Genomic DNA, 17,814 nt, shown 5'->3' with positions numbered 1-17,814 from the left:
ACTCTCATGTCTGCCTGCAGGCACCCCTGGACAAGGGGCTGGATGGGGTCCCCAGGCAGCGAGCAGGAGCTAGCCTGGACTCTGCCCACCCAGCCCCAGGGCAGGGCTATGTTGAAACTTCCTTCTTCCCTGTCTCTGGAGTCTACCACCATTTCCATGTTATCTTCCTGGAACCACTGACTTCCAAGCGGGCACAATCAGCATCTCTAAGAGGGAAATACAACAAGACCTGTTGTTTCCTATCCCAAGTGCAGTGGCAGCCCAGACAGGGCCACCCAGAAGCTGAGAGCAGGCTCTGGCTAGCATCTGGGCCCCGCGTGCTTGTTCCCAGCCATGTGGGCAGATGCCCAGATAGGCCATCAGGACAGTGGGTGGTCCTAAGAGCCCTCCAGGCTCCCTGTCCTGCTGTGTCCATGCCCCCACCCCCCAAGGGCCTAGTTAGGAGCCACTGAGCCCCTCCCACCGTGCGCAAGGTCTTTGCCTATAGCTAGAAGTGAGGACCAGTAGTGAAGCACTTGGCCCGACTGAGCCTGAATCCTGCCTCTGCCACATCAGCTGAACAGCCTCCCCTTCTGTGCCTGTCTGTAAGGAATACAGCTACCCAGGTGGTCAGCGAGGACTAAATGAGATAATAATATATTAAAAGCCCAGGGCACCTTGCCTAGCCCACAGTGAGCACTAAGTGTTTATCCGTGTTATATATTCAGCTTTGACTGAGCGCCTACTGTGCCAGGGCAGCTTGTGGTCTCTGCTCTTGGAGCACCTGCTATCAGGTGGGGGTGGGCTGGGGAGGGACAGTGATGCAGGAACTTGGGCCACAACCCAGGTGGGAAACGCCCTGCAGGGGAAGGCACAGGAGCTGTGGGGCCTCTGGGCAGGGCCTTGAACAGGGAGTTGGGTGTGGAGATGGGGCAGAGATGTCCAAGATGAGTTTGGAAGGCTGCATCTTTGGCCCGATGAACACCAAAAGCATCTTGCAGACGGCAGGCAACGCACATGCACAGACACTTAGTTGTCAAAACCCATGGAGAGAGGGGTTGGTTTACAGCAGATTCATTCTGTGTGGGTGGAAGAAGATGGGGTTAGGGGTGGGGTGTGGGAGGGCTTCATACGTCTTTTCTAAGTCTCTACTTCTGGGCTCATACCAGTTTCTTGCCTTCAAGGCACTTTACAGTTGAGTTGGGTGCAGATCTGATCCTCTGTGCCAAGGGGAACAGAACCAGTGAGTGGAGCCAGGCAATCTCATGGCATTTTAGAAAGGCCCTTGCGGCTGGGAGGAGGGCTGGGCCGGGACCCCATCAGGGCTCTCCTGGGTCCGTGCAGCAGCCTCCAAGGCAGTGGAAGAAGGAGCAGAGGGTGGAGTCCAGAGATGCAGCAGAGCAGACCAGCTAAGATTTGGAGGGCAGAAGGAAGCCTCATCGGGGGTGCTTCTGCCACCCTGCCCTGTGGAGTCGGCTCACAGTAAATGCTCTAGACATGTTTGTCCTTCCTTTGTGTCAGTGAGCTGCATAACCTTGGGCATTTGTCAGGGAACCTAATGCAGGCCCTGCGGTGTGAGCTTGGGATCCCCTCAGCCCTCAGGCAAGCAGGCGTGGCTCCAGGGAAGTGACCCAGGCATGGCATATATGTGCCGACGAAATGCAGACTGGAGAGCAGGGGCCGCCGCCCATCTGCCAGGTTTTCCAGAGCAAACCTGAATCAATCACAGGCCTTTTAATCTCGCCACCCAGAGCGTGGGGGACACCCCTCAGAAGTACAGGGTTTGGGACCTCTGACAGAGGGCAGCTGTCTAAATATGCGAGGAAGCGTGCATGGCGTGCGTCTGGGCTGCCTTGCCAAGGTCAAGTTGTAAATCTCTTTCCCAAGATCTGGCCAGAATTCTTCCCCTTTCCACATGGCTGATGATTCAAAACTTGTATTTTCAGGTAGCTTTTAGGGGTTCTAAAGTTATCTGAATCCTTTGCAAAGTCCTTGAGAAAGGTGAACTTAGCAGTTATGTTAGAAAAGGGGAAACTGAGGCCCAGAGAGCACAGGTAGGAGCACAGTAGGAATTCTGCATCCTGTCGTGGCGTCTACCACTAGAGAGCTCATCCACAGGGTCATCCCCTCAGGGTTGACAGTAGTTCAGCCACAGAAGTTACAGGGTAGGGTTAGTAATACCACCTAAACATCCAGATGTGTTTTGATAGCCTGGGGTAATTAAGGTTGAGGACAAGTGTACCAGATCAAGGAGAGGAACCGTCCCATGCCTGCCGTGTGTTCAGGTGGCTAGACTTGTTGTTGCATCTGTTAGTTCCACTCTTAGTACATCATTGTGCTGTGAGGTGTCATTAGCCGCCGTTTAATTTTTCTTTTGTTTTTAGAGACAGTGTCTTGCTCTCACCCCGGCTTAAGTACAGTGACATGATCATAGCTGACTGCAACCTCAAACTCCTGTACTCAAGTGATCCTCCTGTCTTAGTGTCCCAAGAAGCTAGGACTGCAGGCACACACCACCATGCCTGGCTAATTTTTAATTTTTTTGTAAAGATGGGGTCTCGCTATGTTGCTCAGCTGGTCTCAAACTCCTGTCCTCAAGCAGTCCCCCCACCTTGGCCTCCCAAAGCACTGGGATTAGAGGCATAAGCCACCTTGCCTGGCCTATTGGCCCCATTTTAGAGACACACTGGCTCAGTTGTAACACTTCTCCATGACATTGTAATAACTAATACCTGATTCTAATAAACTGAGATTACATACTAGAATTGAGATGGGTTGAGAGCTGTCTGGGACAAAGATTTTAAGAAAAGCCTCTCAGGAGAAAGAAGAGTGTTTGAGAGCTCAGGTTTCCAATCACTGTACACATTTTTAATAGTTTCCAGACGTATAGAGCATTTACTGAGCCCAGGAGAAGCGTAATTAAGGGTAATAGCAGCCAGCTGTGGCTGTTAAGTGAGAACATGAATGGCAAAGCCCACAGCGGAGAGGCTCTTGGATGAGATTCTGCTCTTCCACTGCAGGGGATCGGTCAGCTCCGAACACATGCAGCCTTGCTGTTGGCAGCAAAACGTCGCAGCAGGATCCGGCCGGTGTCAGACAAAAGCTCAGAGAACTAAACTGTTCTCTGGCTGGGCAGAAACACTTAACAAATCTGTAGATCTGCAGAGCAGTGTCAGCATCTCCCACCAGTCTTTCTTTTCCCCCTAAGTTTTATACTGTACTATGTGTATTTAAACACCCTAAACATCATATAAGAACAGCATTGTCAGCAGCTGCTTATAAAGAAATGTAACTCATAAAGTGTCCACGCCATCGTAGTTCAGTGTGTTTCTTCTCATATGCTGAATTCATGATCAGGCAAGCCCACTTCCTGATCCAGTGTATTTCAACTTTGGCTCTTGACAGGTTGCTAGGATACTTGGAGTCTCTGAAGAGATGAGGAGGAACATGGGGGTGAGCTCAGGCCTGGAACTCATTACCTTGCCTCACGGACACCAGCTGCGCCTGGACATAATTGAAAGGTGAGCAGTGCCGTCCTCTGCACTTCCGACCCTCCCAGCTCCTTCCAGGCATCAGAGCAGCAGGTTTTAGAACAAAGAGAGGCGCAGCACCAGCCTAGCCCTGGGGTAACAGTACTTCAGGGCGCATGGCCTACAGCGACTCTTCCCAGAAGCCTGAGCCTGAGAATTCCTGGAGTTGCACACAAAGACAGCACAACTCAGGAACAAAGAATGTGTTCCCGTCCCTGCTCCTGGAGGAGTGGATGGAGAGAATAGATGGCCTGAAGCCAGTGACTCAATTGGCCTGTGTGAGCAGGAGTCACAGATCCTGCAGCCTGGGGCAGAGCTGGGGCCCCAGCACCTGGAGTCTCCTGGGTCTCCTGCCCAGCAAGCTGCCCCTTTGTCTCTTTGGGGGTTAAGATTGCTTGAGGAATTAGGAGGAGTTTGTGGGAAAGGCTGGGAAGAGCAGAGTCTAGACAGTGTTTTCTTTGAGGGGTGGACAAATAGGGTCAGAGGTTAGGGGATGACGGCACTGGTCCGGGGCCTCCGAGGCATCCCTCCCCTCTTCTCATGAAAAGCCAGGGCCCTGGGCATCCATTGAAATGGAATGTTTAGGAATTAGAAAGACACCAACAATGAGGTATGTTTTTAAGAAAAGAAGCTCTAGACTAGATATCCATATTACCACAAAGCCAGCCTTTTTGACACATTTTTTAAAAGTTGATTTGGGCAAGACTATCTTGTTAAGTTTTCTGTCTGTCCAGCCCATGTCCTAGTTGCCATTACTGACTGCCCATGGCTTTCCATGAAGTTCCAGGTCACAGTGCTGTCCAGGAAAGCTTTCTGTGGTAACAGACGCATTCTGCACTGGCTATTACAGTAGCCACCAGCCACATGTCACTCTCGGGCACCTGAAATGTGACTGATGTGATTGAAGGATGACTTTTTATAATTAGAATTTGCTGTTTTCACGGTAAAAAGCCACTTCTCGGGGGATGGATGTCGCTGCTTTAGAGTTTCCTCGGCTGTACAGCAGATAAAATGACTCCTATGCTGCTGCTGTTTTGGCCTCGCAGCCGTGGATACATCCCATAGAAAATACCCAGAATGCTGAATTGCAGCCATGTGGGAGGATGGAGGTGAAGAAGTGGGCCATGCGGATTTTGTTCGGGAATACCCATTGCTTAAGCCTCTGGGGAATTCTAGGTCCCGCTTCTGAATTTCCCTGCTCTTCCTGATGAGACTTTTCTAGGTTCCAGCCTCTCTCCGGGTGTCCCCTTTTTCCCTCCTGCCCTAGGGGCCTGACCTCCCGGCTCCACTAGCTTCGTTCTATCAGCAGAGGTGAGCTGTGCCACCACACTTTGCCATTTCTCCCATGAGACATTTCAGCCTGAAAGGCCGCAGGTTCCAGGCCTCATGAATCTGAGCCCTATTTTCTTAGTATCATTCAGTGTGCTGGGACAGGCTGAGGGTGACAGGTTTGGGGCTTCTCTCTTGGCTGTTTTCTGACTTTCCACTTCATTTGTCTTTTCTCCTGACTGCCTCTTGGCTGGGGTCTTGCTCCTTAGCTTGTTTCTTGTGACCTGTGGGATCTTCTTTTTAGAGCCTGGGGAGTAGTTTTATTAATTACAATGTGTTTATTAAATAAAGGCCAAGGTTATAGAGGTCCTGATGTGTCACATGATATCACCTTCTTGCATTTGAGAATCAAATACAAAACCACCCTTTATTTTTAATTTACCACCTCACCCATTCCAGGCATACTGCTCTGGAAGTGTCCTTCATGTGACATCTGAGTGCCTCCTCTTGCCAACCACAGGAGCTTTTGCTGCAGATTTGCCAGCCTGAGTTGTTTTTCCCATAGTCGGTGTATCCAGGAGGTTTCAGGCAAATATTGGTTGAGTGAATGGATATAACCATTCAGTTAACCATTTATACAACACTAGAGGGCCATTAAAACACAGGGAGAGAAAACACTGAATAAAGAATCAATTGAATGCAGCATGGGAAGTGAGTTTATAGTTAAAAGCAACATCTAAAATGTTCTGTCAATGTTAACATTTTGCAAATGGATAAGAAAACTCTTCCAAAAATGTATCAGATAACAGCTGGGCGTGGTGGCTCATGCCTGTAATCCCAGCACTTTGGGAGGCCAAGGCAGGTGGATCACTTGAGCCCAGGAATTCGAGACCAGCTGGGCAACATGGCAAAACCCTGTTTCTACAAAAAAACACGAAAATTAGCTGGGCATGGTGGCATATGCCTGTGGTCCCAGCTACGTGGGAGGCTGAGGCAGGAGGATCCTTTGAGCCAGGGAGGTCAAGGCTGCAGTGAGCCATGATCACACCACTGCACTCCAGCCTGGGCAACAGAGCAAAACCCTGTCTCAAAAAAAAAAAAATAATAATAATAATAATAATAATAAAAATATATTTTAGGTCTATGTTTGGATTCATTAATTGAGAAAGACAAATCAGGAGAAGGAGATAAATGGAGAAAAGAGGAAAGAGATGGAGACAAAGAGGGAAAATGGACCAAGATACACAGGGAGAGACATGTACAGAGACAACTCTAGTAACAACTGCTATTTATTAGGTGCCCGCCAGTGCCAGGCACTTTAATTATTATTATTATTTTTGTTTTGAGATAGTCTCTCTAGTTACCCAGGCTGGAGTGCAGTGGCGCAATCTGCTCACTACAACCTCTGCCTCCTGGGTTCAAGCGATTCTCATTCCTCAGCCACTCGAGTAGCTGGGACTACAGGCATGTGCCACCATGCCTGGCTCATTTTTGTATTTTTAGTAGAGATGGGGTTTAGCCCATGTTGCCCAGGCTGGTCTCAAACTCCTGGGCTCAAGCATTGTGCCTGCCTCAGCCTCCCAAAGTGCTGGGATTACAGGCCTGAGACCTGGCTCACTTTAATTATTTTCACACCTATACACAGTCTCTCCTTCTCACAACCCTTGCTCCCATTTTACAGATGAAGAACCTGAGGAGTGGAGCAGTTAGGTACCAGCCCAAGCTTACACTGCAAGTGAGCCCCATACATGCATATATACGCAAACACACTTGGAGGCAGAGCCCATTACCTATTTAACAAACATTAGAGAAATGAGTGATGCTAAGCACTCAATGAATCCCTGCTGCCCTTTGCTCAGGGAGAGCAAGAGACCGACCAACACACCTGGGCACGGAGAGAGCACAGCGTGGAGTAACATCGTAAGCTCCGAACGTTCAGGACAGAGTGGCCCTGGAGTTCAAATGCATGCTGTATTTTAGTAACTACAGCTATAAACTGGGGCTTCGCCTCCAGCACTTGTACCACAGCCTGGAAGAAACTGAGGCAATTCTGGTCTAAAGCAGTTAACTCCTGGGTCCTGATTTACAGTGGGAAGGAAAGGGGGTCACAGTCTATGCTTTCTGCCGCAGACTGACCCCATTCATATTGATCCTGTTGTCATGCGGAGAAAAGATCACCCTGCTTCCTGTTTTGGGTCTCTGAGGTTGACCCATGTAGTTTAGGATGAGAAAAGGGAGGTTTGTTGGGGAAAATGAGATTTCGATTTTATTAGGGTCTGGCCTTACAGGCACATTCCAGCCCATCAACTATTCAATCTTTATCCTCCTCCCCATTCATTTCCTGGCCTCTGGAGTGGGGCTGGAGAACACCATTCTTACCTCCTCTTTCCTGCCTTTGTTCTGATGGCCATGTTATTGTCTTGGATCAAGCATGTCCTCACATTTTTCTGTCCCTTCCATCCCCAAATCCAGGGGGCTCAGTGGAGGTGGCCCTGGGATTCCCCGAGGAGAGATTCTCAGGCGTTTTGGGGGACCTGCTGTCTCCATGGACCTCTCATGGTACAGGGTACTAGGAGCCACATGCACTTCTGAGCACCTTTGCCCCAGGAGCTCCCTCTTTGTGCCCCCAGGTCCAGGGTTGAATGTGGCCCTGTCCGGGGACATCTTGCTTTCTGACTGAAAGTGCACCCTCTGTGGCCTACTTTGGCCCTCCACAGTCAGCCTGCTAAGGGGCGTTCTCTCTGTTGAGATTGGCCGTCTAAACTGTGCTGCCGGCACATTTTAGAGCAAAAGGAGCAAATGGCACAAAAACAGCCCTGCTCTTGGCTGATTTGGTTTAGTTTTCTCCTAGTCCCATTGGCCCTGAACCTGACCGCTGATCTCCTGGCTTTCAGACACAACACAATGGCCATCGGCATTGCAGTGGACATTCTGGGATGCACGGGCACTTTGGAGGACCGAGCGGCCACTCTGAGTAAGATCATCCAGGTGGCGGTGGAACTGAAGGATTCCATGGGGGACCTCTATTCCTTCTCAGCTCTCATGAAAGCCCTGGAAATGCCACAGGTAAATTTCCAATTACTTTATGTGTACTTAATGTTCTGTAAAGAGATCTGCATGCCATGTTTGGCAAATCAGACTATTTTAGTCAATCTCAAAAGTAAATTGAATCTTAGTGAAAGCTGCTTCATTTAGGGGACAGTGTCCTAAGTATTTGGGGTCTACTTTTTTTTTTCTTTTTTGAGACAGAATCTCACTCTGCCACCTAGGCTAGCAGTGGCACAATCTCAGCTCACTGCAACCTCCACCTCCCAGGCTTAAGTGATTCTCATGCCTCAGCCTCAAGTAGCTGGGACTATAGGCAGGCACCACCACACCCAGCTAATTTTTGTATTTTTAGTAGGGACAGGGTTTCACCAGGTTGGCCTGGAACTCCTGACTTCACATGATCTGCCCGCCTCAGCCTCCCGAAGTGCTGGAATTACAGGCATGAGCCACTGTACCTGGACTGGGGTCTATTTTTTTTTTTTTTTAAACGAAGTCTCGCTCTGTTGTCCAGGCTGCAGTACAATGGTGTGATCTTGGCTCATTGCAACCTCTGTCTCCTGGGTTCAAGCGATTCTCCTGCCTCAGCCTCCTGAGTAGCTGGGATAACAGGCGTGGGCCACCACACCTGGCTAATTTTTGTATTTTTAGTAGAGACGGGGTTTTGCCATGTTGGCCAGGCTGATCTCGAACTCCTGACCTCAGGTGATCTGCCCACCTCGGCCTCCCAAAGTGCTGGGATTACAGGCATGAAGCACCACGCCCAGCCTCTGGGGTCTATTTTTTAAGGCAGTAAATATTTGCTGACAGTCCATGCTTTCTCTTTGATGTACAGTAGCAAGTGTCATCCTCATGAACAGTAGTGATTCAAGGAGAACCAATTAGGATGAGACATCTGGCTAAAGTGTGTTGTATAAGAAGGAGACTGCCTCCATCTGGGTCACCAGGTGTGGGCAGTCTAGGATAATCACTGGGAAATGAGACATTTGCAGAGCTTCTATCAGAATCCTTAGAATAGTTTATCTCAGGTCACCTAAAACAGACTGTCCTATTAAAAAGTTCGGATTCCTGGTCCATCTGCCATAGAACTCCCTAATTACCGTTTCTGAAACTGGGCATTTGAATTTATCTGCTGTGCCAGGGATTTTTTAGGATGAGTGTCAAACCTGAATATCTGTATCTGAAGTCAAGCAGGCCTCATAGAGGAAAGTCAGGCTGCCATCTTTATTGCTGAGGATCAGCACTCCCACTTCTGTTCTCCCAAGCCCTGGATGCTTGGAGGACTTGAGTATGAGTTTACAGTCCAGCCAGCAAAACTTTCTAGTAACACCAAAACCGCTGGTCACTCGGCTTGGCTGTTTCATAGCCACAGGTTAGCTCTGAAATCCTGCCAGGTACTCACTGAAATTCCATCATTGCCACTGAAAAACAGCCACAATCACATGTCCCGCAAGTCAGATCATGGCAGGAATAGAATTTACTTGCATTAAAGCAAGGTCACCTTAAAAATAAAAAGTTGAAAACTTAGTGCCTTCATCGGGAATTTGTGGGGGGTCAATTCTAATTATATTTCAGAAGCTTTCAGAATTCTTCAGGTAGACTGGTATTTTGTAGGATTGGTATTTGAAATAAGCAGCCCATAAGTTCTGCCAGATTTTCATGATATACTGATTTCTACTATAACGGGTTATCATTTTTTCATTCAGGTATTTTAATGTGCATTATGTTTATTTCCTGTCACCTAAAACTGCCTAGAATTTTGACAGCAGAGCCAACAGGCCAGGCTGTGGGTAAAGCCTTCCAGCCCAGAGCTTCCCCTGAGACTGGTAAAGGAGATGTTTTGTGGGATCACATGGTTGCCATCCATGACATCAAACTCAGCAGTTAGGGACTTGTCCCCAACCACATTACCATGCTTTGTAGGCGGCTCCCTGCCTTCTAACAGTGTCAGCCTTTCCCTTCTGGAGCACATCAGCAGTGACAGGACACAGTCCTCCAGAGCATACAGTGGCCTAGGAGGAAGTGGCATACCCAGAGAAAGCCCAAAAGGAGGGTCACATTACTTTGCGTGTCACCATCCAACCCAGCCCTTACACTATAGCCACATCTGCCACCTTCTCTTCTCAGCTTCTAGTATCAAGAGAATATGTCCAGGAGATGGGCCTAGCCCAGACCCAGAGGCTTCTTTCAGAAAGGCAATGCCTCAGGGAGTGGGTGTAGGGAGCAGGGGTCTACAGAAGGAAGGGCAGCATGGTGGGCAGCAGGAGGAAGGCGGCCACAGCCTTTTCTTCACAGCACGTCTGCTGGTGCTGAGCCTACTCACCTTCCTTTTGGATACAGGAGCTCTTCAAGGCCAAGTAAATGAATCTCAGCTCTACCACATACCAGCTGGGAAGCCTTGGGCAGTTACCTAATCTCTTCTGTTTTCTCATCTGTAAAAGCCAAAATACCTGTCTTAAAGGGCATTGTGAAGATTAAATGAAATTCTTCAAATATTTGACACAAACTTGGCTCTTATTCCCCAAATACTAATGCCCTTCCTTGTTTCATGTAGAAAACTTAACATAGCCTTGCCGGTTTTAGGGTATGAGTTGGGGACCATTTATCTTAGGACAGTCAGAGTCAGTGGTGTATGCTGCTGCTGACTAAATTGTTCCAAAAGAAAATTGAGGCCCTGAGTTACCTGCAGAAGAAAAGAAATGAGTAGCAGGCATGGTGTCTCATGTTTGTTGTCCCAGCTACTCAGAAGGCTGAGGTGGGAAGATCACTGAGCCTGGGAGGTTGAGGCTACAGTGAGCTGTGATCGCACCACTGCACCCCAGCCTGGGCAACAGAGTGAGACCCCATCTCAAAGAAGAAAAGTCATAAAACTCTTTAAGAGACGAGTTAAACTATAGCTATCCATACAGTGGACTATTATGCAGAAATTTAACAAAATAAGGCTGTTCTATATGTACTTATACTGAATGCTTTTGAGGCAAGGAATGGGTGTGGTTTATGTAGTATATAATATGCATGTATTTATTTTTAAAAGGGGTGTGCGTATAGACAGGAATTTTGGGGAGGTCAATTCCAGTTTTATTTCAAGAGCTTTCAAAATTCTTCAGGTACACTGGAATTTTCTAGGATCAGTATTTAAAATAAGCAACATCAGTTCTGCCGTATTTTCATGATAATGCTGATTTCTATTATAACAAGAGTGTAATTTTTCATTCAGGTGTTTTACTTTGCATCATGTTTATTTCCTCTCATCCAATACTGCCTTGAATTTTGACAGTGGACTGGCCAGCAGGCCAGGCTGTATGTGAAACACACACGCACAAGCAGTTGAAGAGAGTTGCCATCTCTGGGATGCGCTAACAGCAATGCAGATGGGGCGGATGGGGGATTATTTTTTCTTTCTACCCTGCTTTCAGACACTTTGACATTTTTACCATGTGTATCTATCACCTGTTCCAAAATTTAAGCAAAAGGGTAATTTTATTTTATTTATTTTTTTTTTTTTGAGACAGGGTCTCACTCTGTCAACCAGGCTGGAGTGCAGTGGCATGATCTTGGCTCATTGCAACCTCCGCCTCCCAGGTTCAAGCAATTCTCCCGCCTCAACCTCCCGAGTAGCTGGGATTACAGGCACACGCCACCACGCCTGGCTAATTTTTGTATTTGAGTAGAGACAGGGTTTCACCATACTGGCCAGACTGGTCTTGAACTCCTGACCTCAAGTGATCCACCCGCCTCAGCCTCCCAAAGTGCTGGCATTACAGGCGTGAGCTACCACGCCCAGCCACTAAAAGGTAATTTTAAAAAGAACCTTTTCCAAAACACCACCTTTCTTCCAGATCACAAGGTTAGAAAAGACGTGGACTGCTCTGCGGCACCAGTACACCCAAACTGCCATTCTCTATGAGAAACAGCTGAAGCCCTTCAGCAAACTCCTGCATGAAGGCAGAGGTGAGCACGTGGGCAGAGCAAGCATGGGGCTACCCCGCTGGGGAGTGGAGTACAAGTACACAGGGCATGTTATGAGGCCCTGAGTTATCTGCAGCACTGTGGATGGCTCATCAGGGCTTTTATCAGATGACAGCGTTGCTTGTAGAAGGCTGCAGTTGCTGTAACAAGACAAGGGCTATGAGTCACCTCATTCTGTGCTTAACTTTGGAAAACATGTGATATGGAAAACTCTACTCCTTATTCTTCAGAGTCCACATGTGTTCCCCCAAACAATGTATCAGTCCCACTGCTGATGCCGCTTGTGACGTTAATGGAGCGCCAGGCTGTGACTTTTGAAGGAACCGACATGTGGGAAAAAAACGACCAGAGCTGTGAAATCATGCTGAACCATTTGGCAACAGCGCGATTCATGGCCGAGGCTGCAGACAGCTACCGGATGAATGCTGAGAGGATCCTGGCAGGTAAGAGATGGGTTTTGTAAGCTGTTCTCTAACACTGTATCGTAATTGAAATGAAGGAATGGAAGAGCATGGCTGACTTCACTTAGAAAAAGACCAAAAAGGAAGGATTAAAGAATGGAATTCCATTTCCTATATGGCTAGTTATTACTTCCTCTTAATTCCAGAATGACTCAAGTGCCCTGTTTCTCCTTGTGTGTTCTGTTGTTCAATGGTATAGAATAAACAGAGAGAAGGGGTCAAGAAAGAACTGGGGCCGGGCGTGGTGGTTCAAGCCTGTAATCCCAGCACTCTGGGAGGCTGAGGCAGGTAGATCACTTGAAGTCAGGAGTTCAAGACCAGCTTGGCCAACATGATGAAACCCTGTCTCTAATAGAAATACAAAAATTAGCTGGGCGTGATGGTGTGTGCCTGTGATCCCAGCTACTCAGGAGGCTGAGGCAGGAGAATCACTTGAACCCGGGAGGCGGAGGTTGCAGTGAGCCGAGATCGCACCACTGCACTCCAGCCTGGGCGCTGGGCAACAGAACAAGAATTGGCCAACTTGCCTACCACTTATTAATAGTACCTCTAATAGGTGAGATTAGAAAAGGTGATGTGCCAAGATGAGGAGGTGGAGTTTTATCCAGACCTCATTTATCTGCATTCCTGTTCCTTCCCAGTCACACTGGGAAGTGAGCTCCCCTGCTCTTAGCATCAGACACATCCTGGAAAGTGTGGGGCAGTGTTGCGTAAACGGATTTTTCTTACAAGTGCTATGGTGACAGAAAGCAGCCTCCTCAGTCAGCACGGCCGGCATTTATCACACATGTGGCATGCGCGCGGCACCGTGCTAACTGGATGTCCTGAGGAATTTAAGCAGGTACGATAAATGCAGTGTATACTGTGGGAGCACTTAGGGGAAGGGACTGATTTGGTCAGAGATGTTAGGAAAGAGGAAGCACCTGGTGACAGCTTCCCAGAAAACACTGCATTGATTGTTAAAGGACAAAAGCAGTTACCAGCAAGCAGGGCTGGGAATTCCACTCAGATGGCACAACCCAAGCAAAGGCGCTGAGAGACCTTGGGGAAAACTGGGATCCACAAGTACTTGGGTTTAGATTTGTGCAAAGTATGACCTAAGGAATGGCCAACTAGGCTACAGAGGGAGGTGCAGCTGGGAAGCCCTTCCACATAAGACCGTGGCTGAAGAAGAGCCAGTGAAGGGTTTAATCATGGGAGGGTGTCACATGGTCAGATTTCTGTTTTAAAGTAAATTACTCTGGTGTCTGTGTGGAGGAAGGCTGGAAGGCTGAAGGTTTGCTGGCAGAAAGACCATTCAGGAAGGAGGGCTTTGCCAAGGCAGTCATCAAGGATGACTATTTTCCATTACTATATAATTTTTTAAATTCTTCAAGGGCTCACAGTTTGATTCACAAAGTTAAGAACTATGTGGGGGCAGGAGACTCCATTTATTTAATTCTAAAAGGGAGCTGCCTCAGAACCAGATGTGGGACTTAGTCGTTTGCACCATCTGCTGTGGGTATAAGCACCGCATACCTGTTTCATTTTCTTCCTCAAAAAGTTCTCCAGGATTGGCTGTATGTTACTCAAACAATAAAAGCACACAAGTCAACAAGTATCAGAGTGCCTACTTAGACAAAGCCAATGAATACATTACCATGGATGTTGCATAAGCCAATACATCAGGGTGGGTTTTGAGAAAAGTGTGCCATAAGCTGCTCTACAGCTTTAAATCACTTTAAAGGTCACTGATGGAATTTTTCAGTCGATCCTAATATAGATTTCACAGCAAGTACCCATTGCTGTAAGTGACAGTGAACCCAGGAAAGGCAGAGATCTGCTCACCAGCATAGACCAGACCACGTGAATGGGAAGGGGCTCAAAGCATGTATGAATAGGAGTCACCATCTGGGGGCCGGGCGCAGTGGCTCATGCCTGTATTCCCAGCACTTTCGGAGGCTGAGGTAGGCAGATCACCTGAGGTCAGGACTTAGAGGCCAGCCTGGACAACATGGCAAAACCCCGTCTCTGTTAAAAATACAAAAATTAGCCGGGGAATTTTGAGAGGGAATACTTGAGAGGCTGAGGCAGGAGTATCAAGCGATTCTCCTTGATTCTTAATTTCATTGAGCCGAGATTGTGCCACTGCACTCCAGCCTGGTCTCAAAAAAAAAAAAAGTCACCATCTGGCCTTTGGTTGGTTATCCACCAAGGATATTCTGGCATCATCAGGAAGAAAATATTCCTGTTGTCCTTTCTACAACCAAGATCCTGTGATCTAGATGGCAGGTATATTTAATGGCAGAACAAACTATCCCAGCAATAATAAAGGATGAGAACCACATGACTCTTTGGCTAGAGGCTTCTCTCTCTTTAAAAGAGTTGCCTGAACATCTTTGGCCTTAAGCAGACCACATCCTCTCTTAGATGGAATAGAGTTAAGAAATAGGCCCACACATATGGCTGACAGTTGATTTTCAACAAAGGTGCCAAAATAATTCACTGGATAAAGTATAATCCTGCAAATGGTATCTGCTATTGGATATCCATATGCAAAAAAGTGAATCTCGATCCTTACCTCATACCATACACAATAATCCAAAATGGATCATAGACCCAAAATGTAAGAGCTAAAGTATAACCTTCTGTAAGAAAACATAGGAGAAATTCTTTGTGCCCTTAAGCTAAGTAAAGACTTCTTGGCCAGGCACGGTGGCTCACGCCTGTAATCCCAGCATTTTGGGAGGCTGAGGCAGGCGGATCACCTGAGGTCGGGAGTTCAAGACCAGCCTGACCAACGTGGAGAAACCCCGTCTCTACTAAAAATACAAAATTAGCCGGGCGTGGTGGCGCATGCCTGTAATCTCAGCTACTCGGGAGGCTGAGGCAGGAGAATTGCTTGAACCCAGGAGGCAGAGGTTGCACCATTGCACTTCAGCCTGGGCAACAAAAGCAAAACTCCATCTCAAAAAAAAAAAAAAAAAAAAAGAAAGAAAGAAATTCTTAGGACACAAAAAGCATGAACCACAGCAGAAAACATTGAGTACACATATATCTGATAAAGGACTTACATCTAGGCTATACAAAGAACTCTTACAACTCAGTGAGAAGATAAAATTTAAATAGACAAAAATTTGAATAGACACTACATCAGAGAAGGCATACAAATGACAACTACATGAAAAGATGTTCAAAGCATTCATCATTAGGGAAATGTAAATTTAAACCAACCACAATGAGATACCACCACACTATCTAGAATGGCTACAACTAAAAAGAATGATAGGCCAGGCACGGTGGCTAATGTCTGTAATCCCAGCACTTTGGGAGGTCGAGGCGGGTGGATCACCTGAGGTCAAAAGTTCGAGACCAGCCTGGCCAACATGGCAAAACCCCGTCTCTACTGAAAATACAAAAAATTAGCCAGGCGTGGTAGCACACACCTGTAGTCCCAGCTACTTGGGAGGCTGAGGCAGGAGAATTGCTTGAACCCGAGAGGTAGAGGTTGTGGTGAGCCAGGATCGTGCCACTGCACTCCAGCCTGGGCAACACAGCGAGACTCCTTCTCAAAAAAATAAAAATAAAAAATGATAAAACTAAGGGTTGGCAGCATGTGGAAAAACTGGAGTCTTCATATGTTACTGCTGTGAATATAAAATGATACAGCCATTTTGGAATAGAGTTTAATAGTTTCTTTAAAAGTAAACATATACTGATTGTATGACCCAATAATTCCTTTCCTAGAGAAATGAAAACACATGTCCACACAAGATTTGTACACAAGTGTTCACAACCACTTACTCATAGCAGCCAGAAGCAATCCAAATGTCATCAATTGGTGAATGGATAAACAAAAACAATGGCATGTCCATAAAACTGAATATTGATCAGTAAGAATGATTAGCATGCAACATATGGAATAATCTCAAAAACATCATGCTAAGTGAAAGAAGTCACACATTAAAAAGTTCATAGTGGATGATTCCATTTATCCCATATTTCTAGAAAAGGCAAAACAGTAGCAACAGAAAGCAGATCAGTGGTTGACTGAGGTCTGCAGTAGGAACAGGAATTGACTGCAAAGAGGTACTAAGGTGATGGAAGTGTTCTAAGACTGGTGGTAATGGTTTATGTAAAAACTTACCATCATAAATCAAACTCCACAGCCAAAAACAGGTGAATCATATGACATGTAAACTATACATCAGTAAAGTTGGTAAAAACAAGTAACGAACTCCTAGGTACAATGAACCCTCCTTCCCACAGCACTACTTCCCACAGTGGTTTGTACAAACCAATTTCACTCTATTGTTTTTTAATGAGTTTACCTGTTATTTCTTCTCTGAAGGTGCTTAGGTTCTGCAGGGTGGGGCTCTGCTCTCCCTTATATAGAACAGATCCTATATTTTTCTTTGGGGACATTTTTTAAAGTTCTGAGAGAGAGAAGATGTTCATTTTGATGCTACTTTAAGCAAGCTTTCAGTCTATTTTTTTTTTTTTTTTTTTTTTTGAGATGGAGTCTCGCTTGTCACCCAGGCTGCAGTGCAGTGGCGCAGTCTCGCTCACTGCAAGCTCCACCTCCCGGGTTCACGCCATTCTCCTGCCTCAGCCTCCCGAGTAGCTGGGACTACAGGCGCTCGCCACCACGCCTGGCTAATTTTTTGTATTTTTTTAGTAGAGACGGGATTTCACTGTGTTAGCCAGGATGGTCTCGATCTCCTGATCTTGTGATCCACCCACCTCGGCCTCCCAAAGTGCTGGGATTACAGGCGTGAGCCACCGCGCCTGGTGCTTTCAGTCTATTTTTAACACATCTTAGGCAGAACTGAAGTAACTTTTTGTTTATTTTGTTTCATTAGGTTTTCAACCAGATGAAGAAATGAATGAAATCTGCAAGACTGAATTTCAAATGCGATTGCTATGGGGCAGCAAAGGTGCACAAGTCAATCAGACAGAGAGATATGAGAAATTCAACCAGATTTTAACTGCCCTCTCGCGTAAATTGGAACCTCCTCCTGTAAAGCAGGCAGAGCTTTGATAACTCTCCAGAGAACCTTTAGAATATCTTTTCAAGTTTCCCCAGCTTCATCTTTGGGAAAGCTTACTGTTTTTGATAAAGTAATAATGTGCAAATCTGACAATATACAAGCTTTTAGTATCCACAGGATATTAAACGTGTAAATTGCACAGAGCACACTTATTTATGAATTGTCTAAAGTTACTACTGATTTTAAAATGAATAATTTATTATTAAGGTAACTACTGCTAATGTTGATCAGCAAATTTAAGAGAAGACCTAGCTATGTTGGCTGGTTGCTTTCTATTATCATGGTATTTGACCATTTTAGTTTTAATTCCATGTCAGATAAGTGTAAATAGAAGAGTTTAAAAGCATGAAACATTTCAGAAGGTATCAGTTATATGATATTCTTTAAACAAATATGAAAAATGTAAATACTCATGAATGAAAATACATCTTTTTGTGAAACAGTTGTATCCAGTCTCTTTCATATTAAACAACTCATCTTGGTACAATAACTCTACCTCTTAGCTACCTCAAGCATGCTCTTCCCTAGGTA

At 46.5% G+C, this 17,814-nt stretch overlaps 1 protein-coding gene across 33 annotated transcripts in view, besides 1 other annotated feature; it reads left to right on the top strand.

Moving 5' to 3' along the window:
* The window catches only part of BCAR3 (BCAR3 adaptor protein, NSP family member), a 286,411-nt gene extending 268,638 nt beyond the window's left edge, over positions 1–17,773 (top strand). For 25 of the 33 annotated variants that reach the window (NM_001261408.2, NM_001412054.1, NM_001412048.1 and 22 more), the window contains 5 exons: positions 3,385–3,500; positions 7,673–7,844; positions 11,663–11,774; positions 12,023–12,235; positions 17,095–17,773. In NM_001261408.2, the coding sequence (NP_001248337.1) occupies positions 3,385–3,500; positions 7,673–7,844; positions 11,663–11,774; positions 12,023–12,235; positions 17,095–17,273 (792 nt within the window). In that variant the 3' untranslated portion in view covers positions 17,274–17,773. Of the gene's footprint in view, positions 1–3,384; positions 5,148–7,672; positions 7,845–11,662; positions 12,368–17,094 lie in introns of those variants that run through there. The other 8 variants (NM_001412065.1, NM_001412066.1, NM_001412072.1 and 5 more) reach the window with 6 other exon arrangements.
* Positions 6,035–7,032: an enhancer, noted in NCBI's record as "OCT4-NANOG-H3K27ac hESC enhancer chr1:94038039-94039036 (GRCh37/hg19 assembly coordinates)". NCBI's record gives its function as "activates a minimal SCP1, AML or CMV promoter by ChIP-STARR-seq in primed H9 embryonic stem cells {active_cell/tissue: H9 hESC(primed)}" and the evidence as "EXISTENCE:reporter gene assay evidence [ECO:0000049][PMID:30033119]".
* Positions 17,774–17,814: the final 41 nt, after the last annotated feature.

Source organism: Homo sapiens, chromosome 1 (assembly GCF_000001405.40).
Source record: "Homo sapiens chromosome 1, GRCh38.p14 Primary Assembly".
NCBI classification, from domain to species: Eukaryota; Metazoa; Chordata; class Mammalia; order Primates; family Hominidae; genus Homo; species Homo sapiens.
This window is presented reverse-complemented; position numbering and strand designations above follow the sequence as displayed.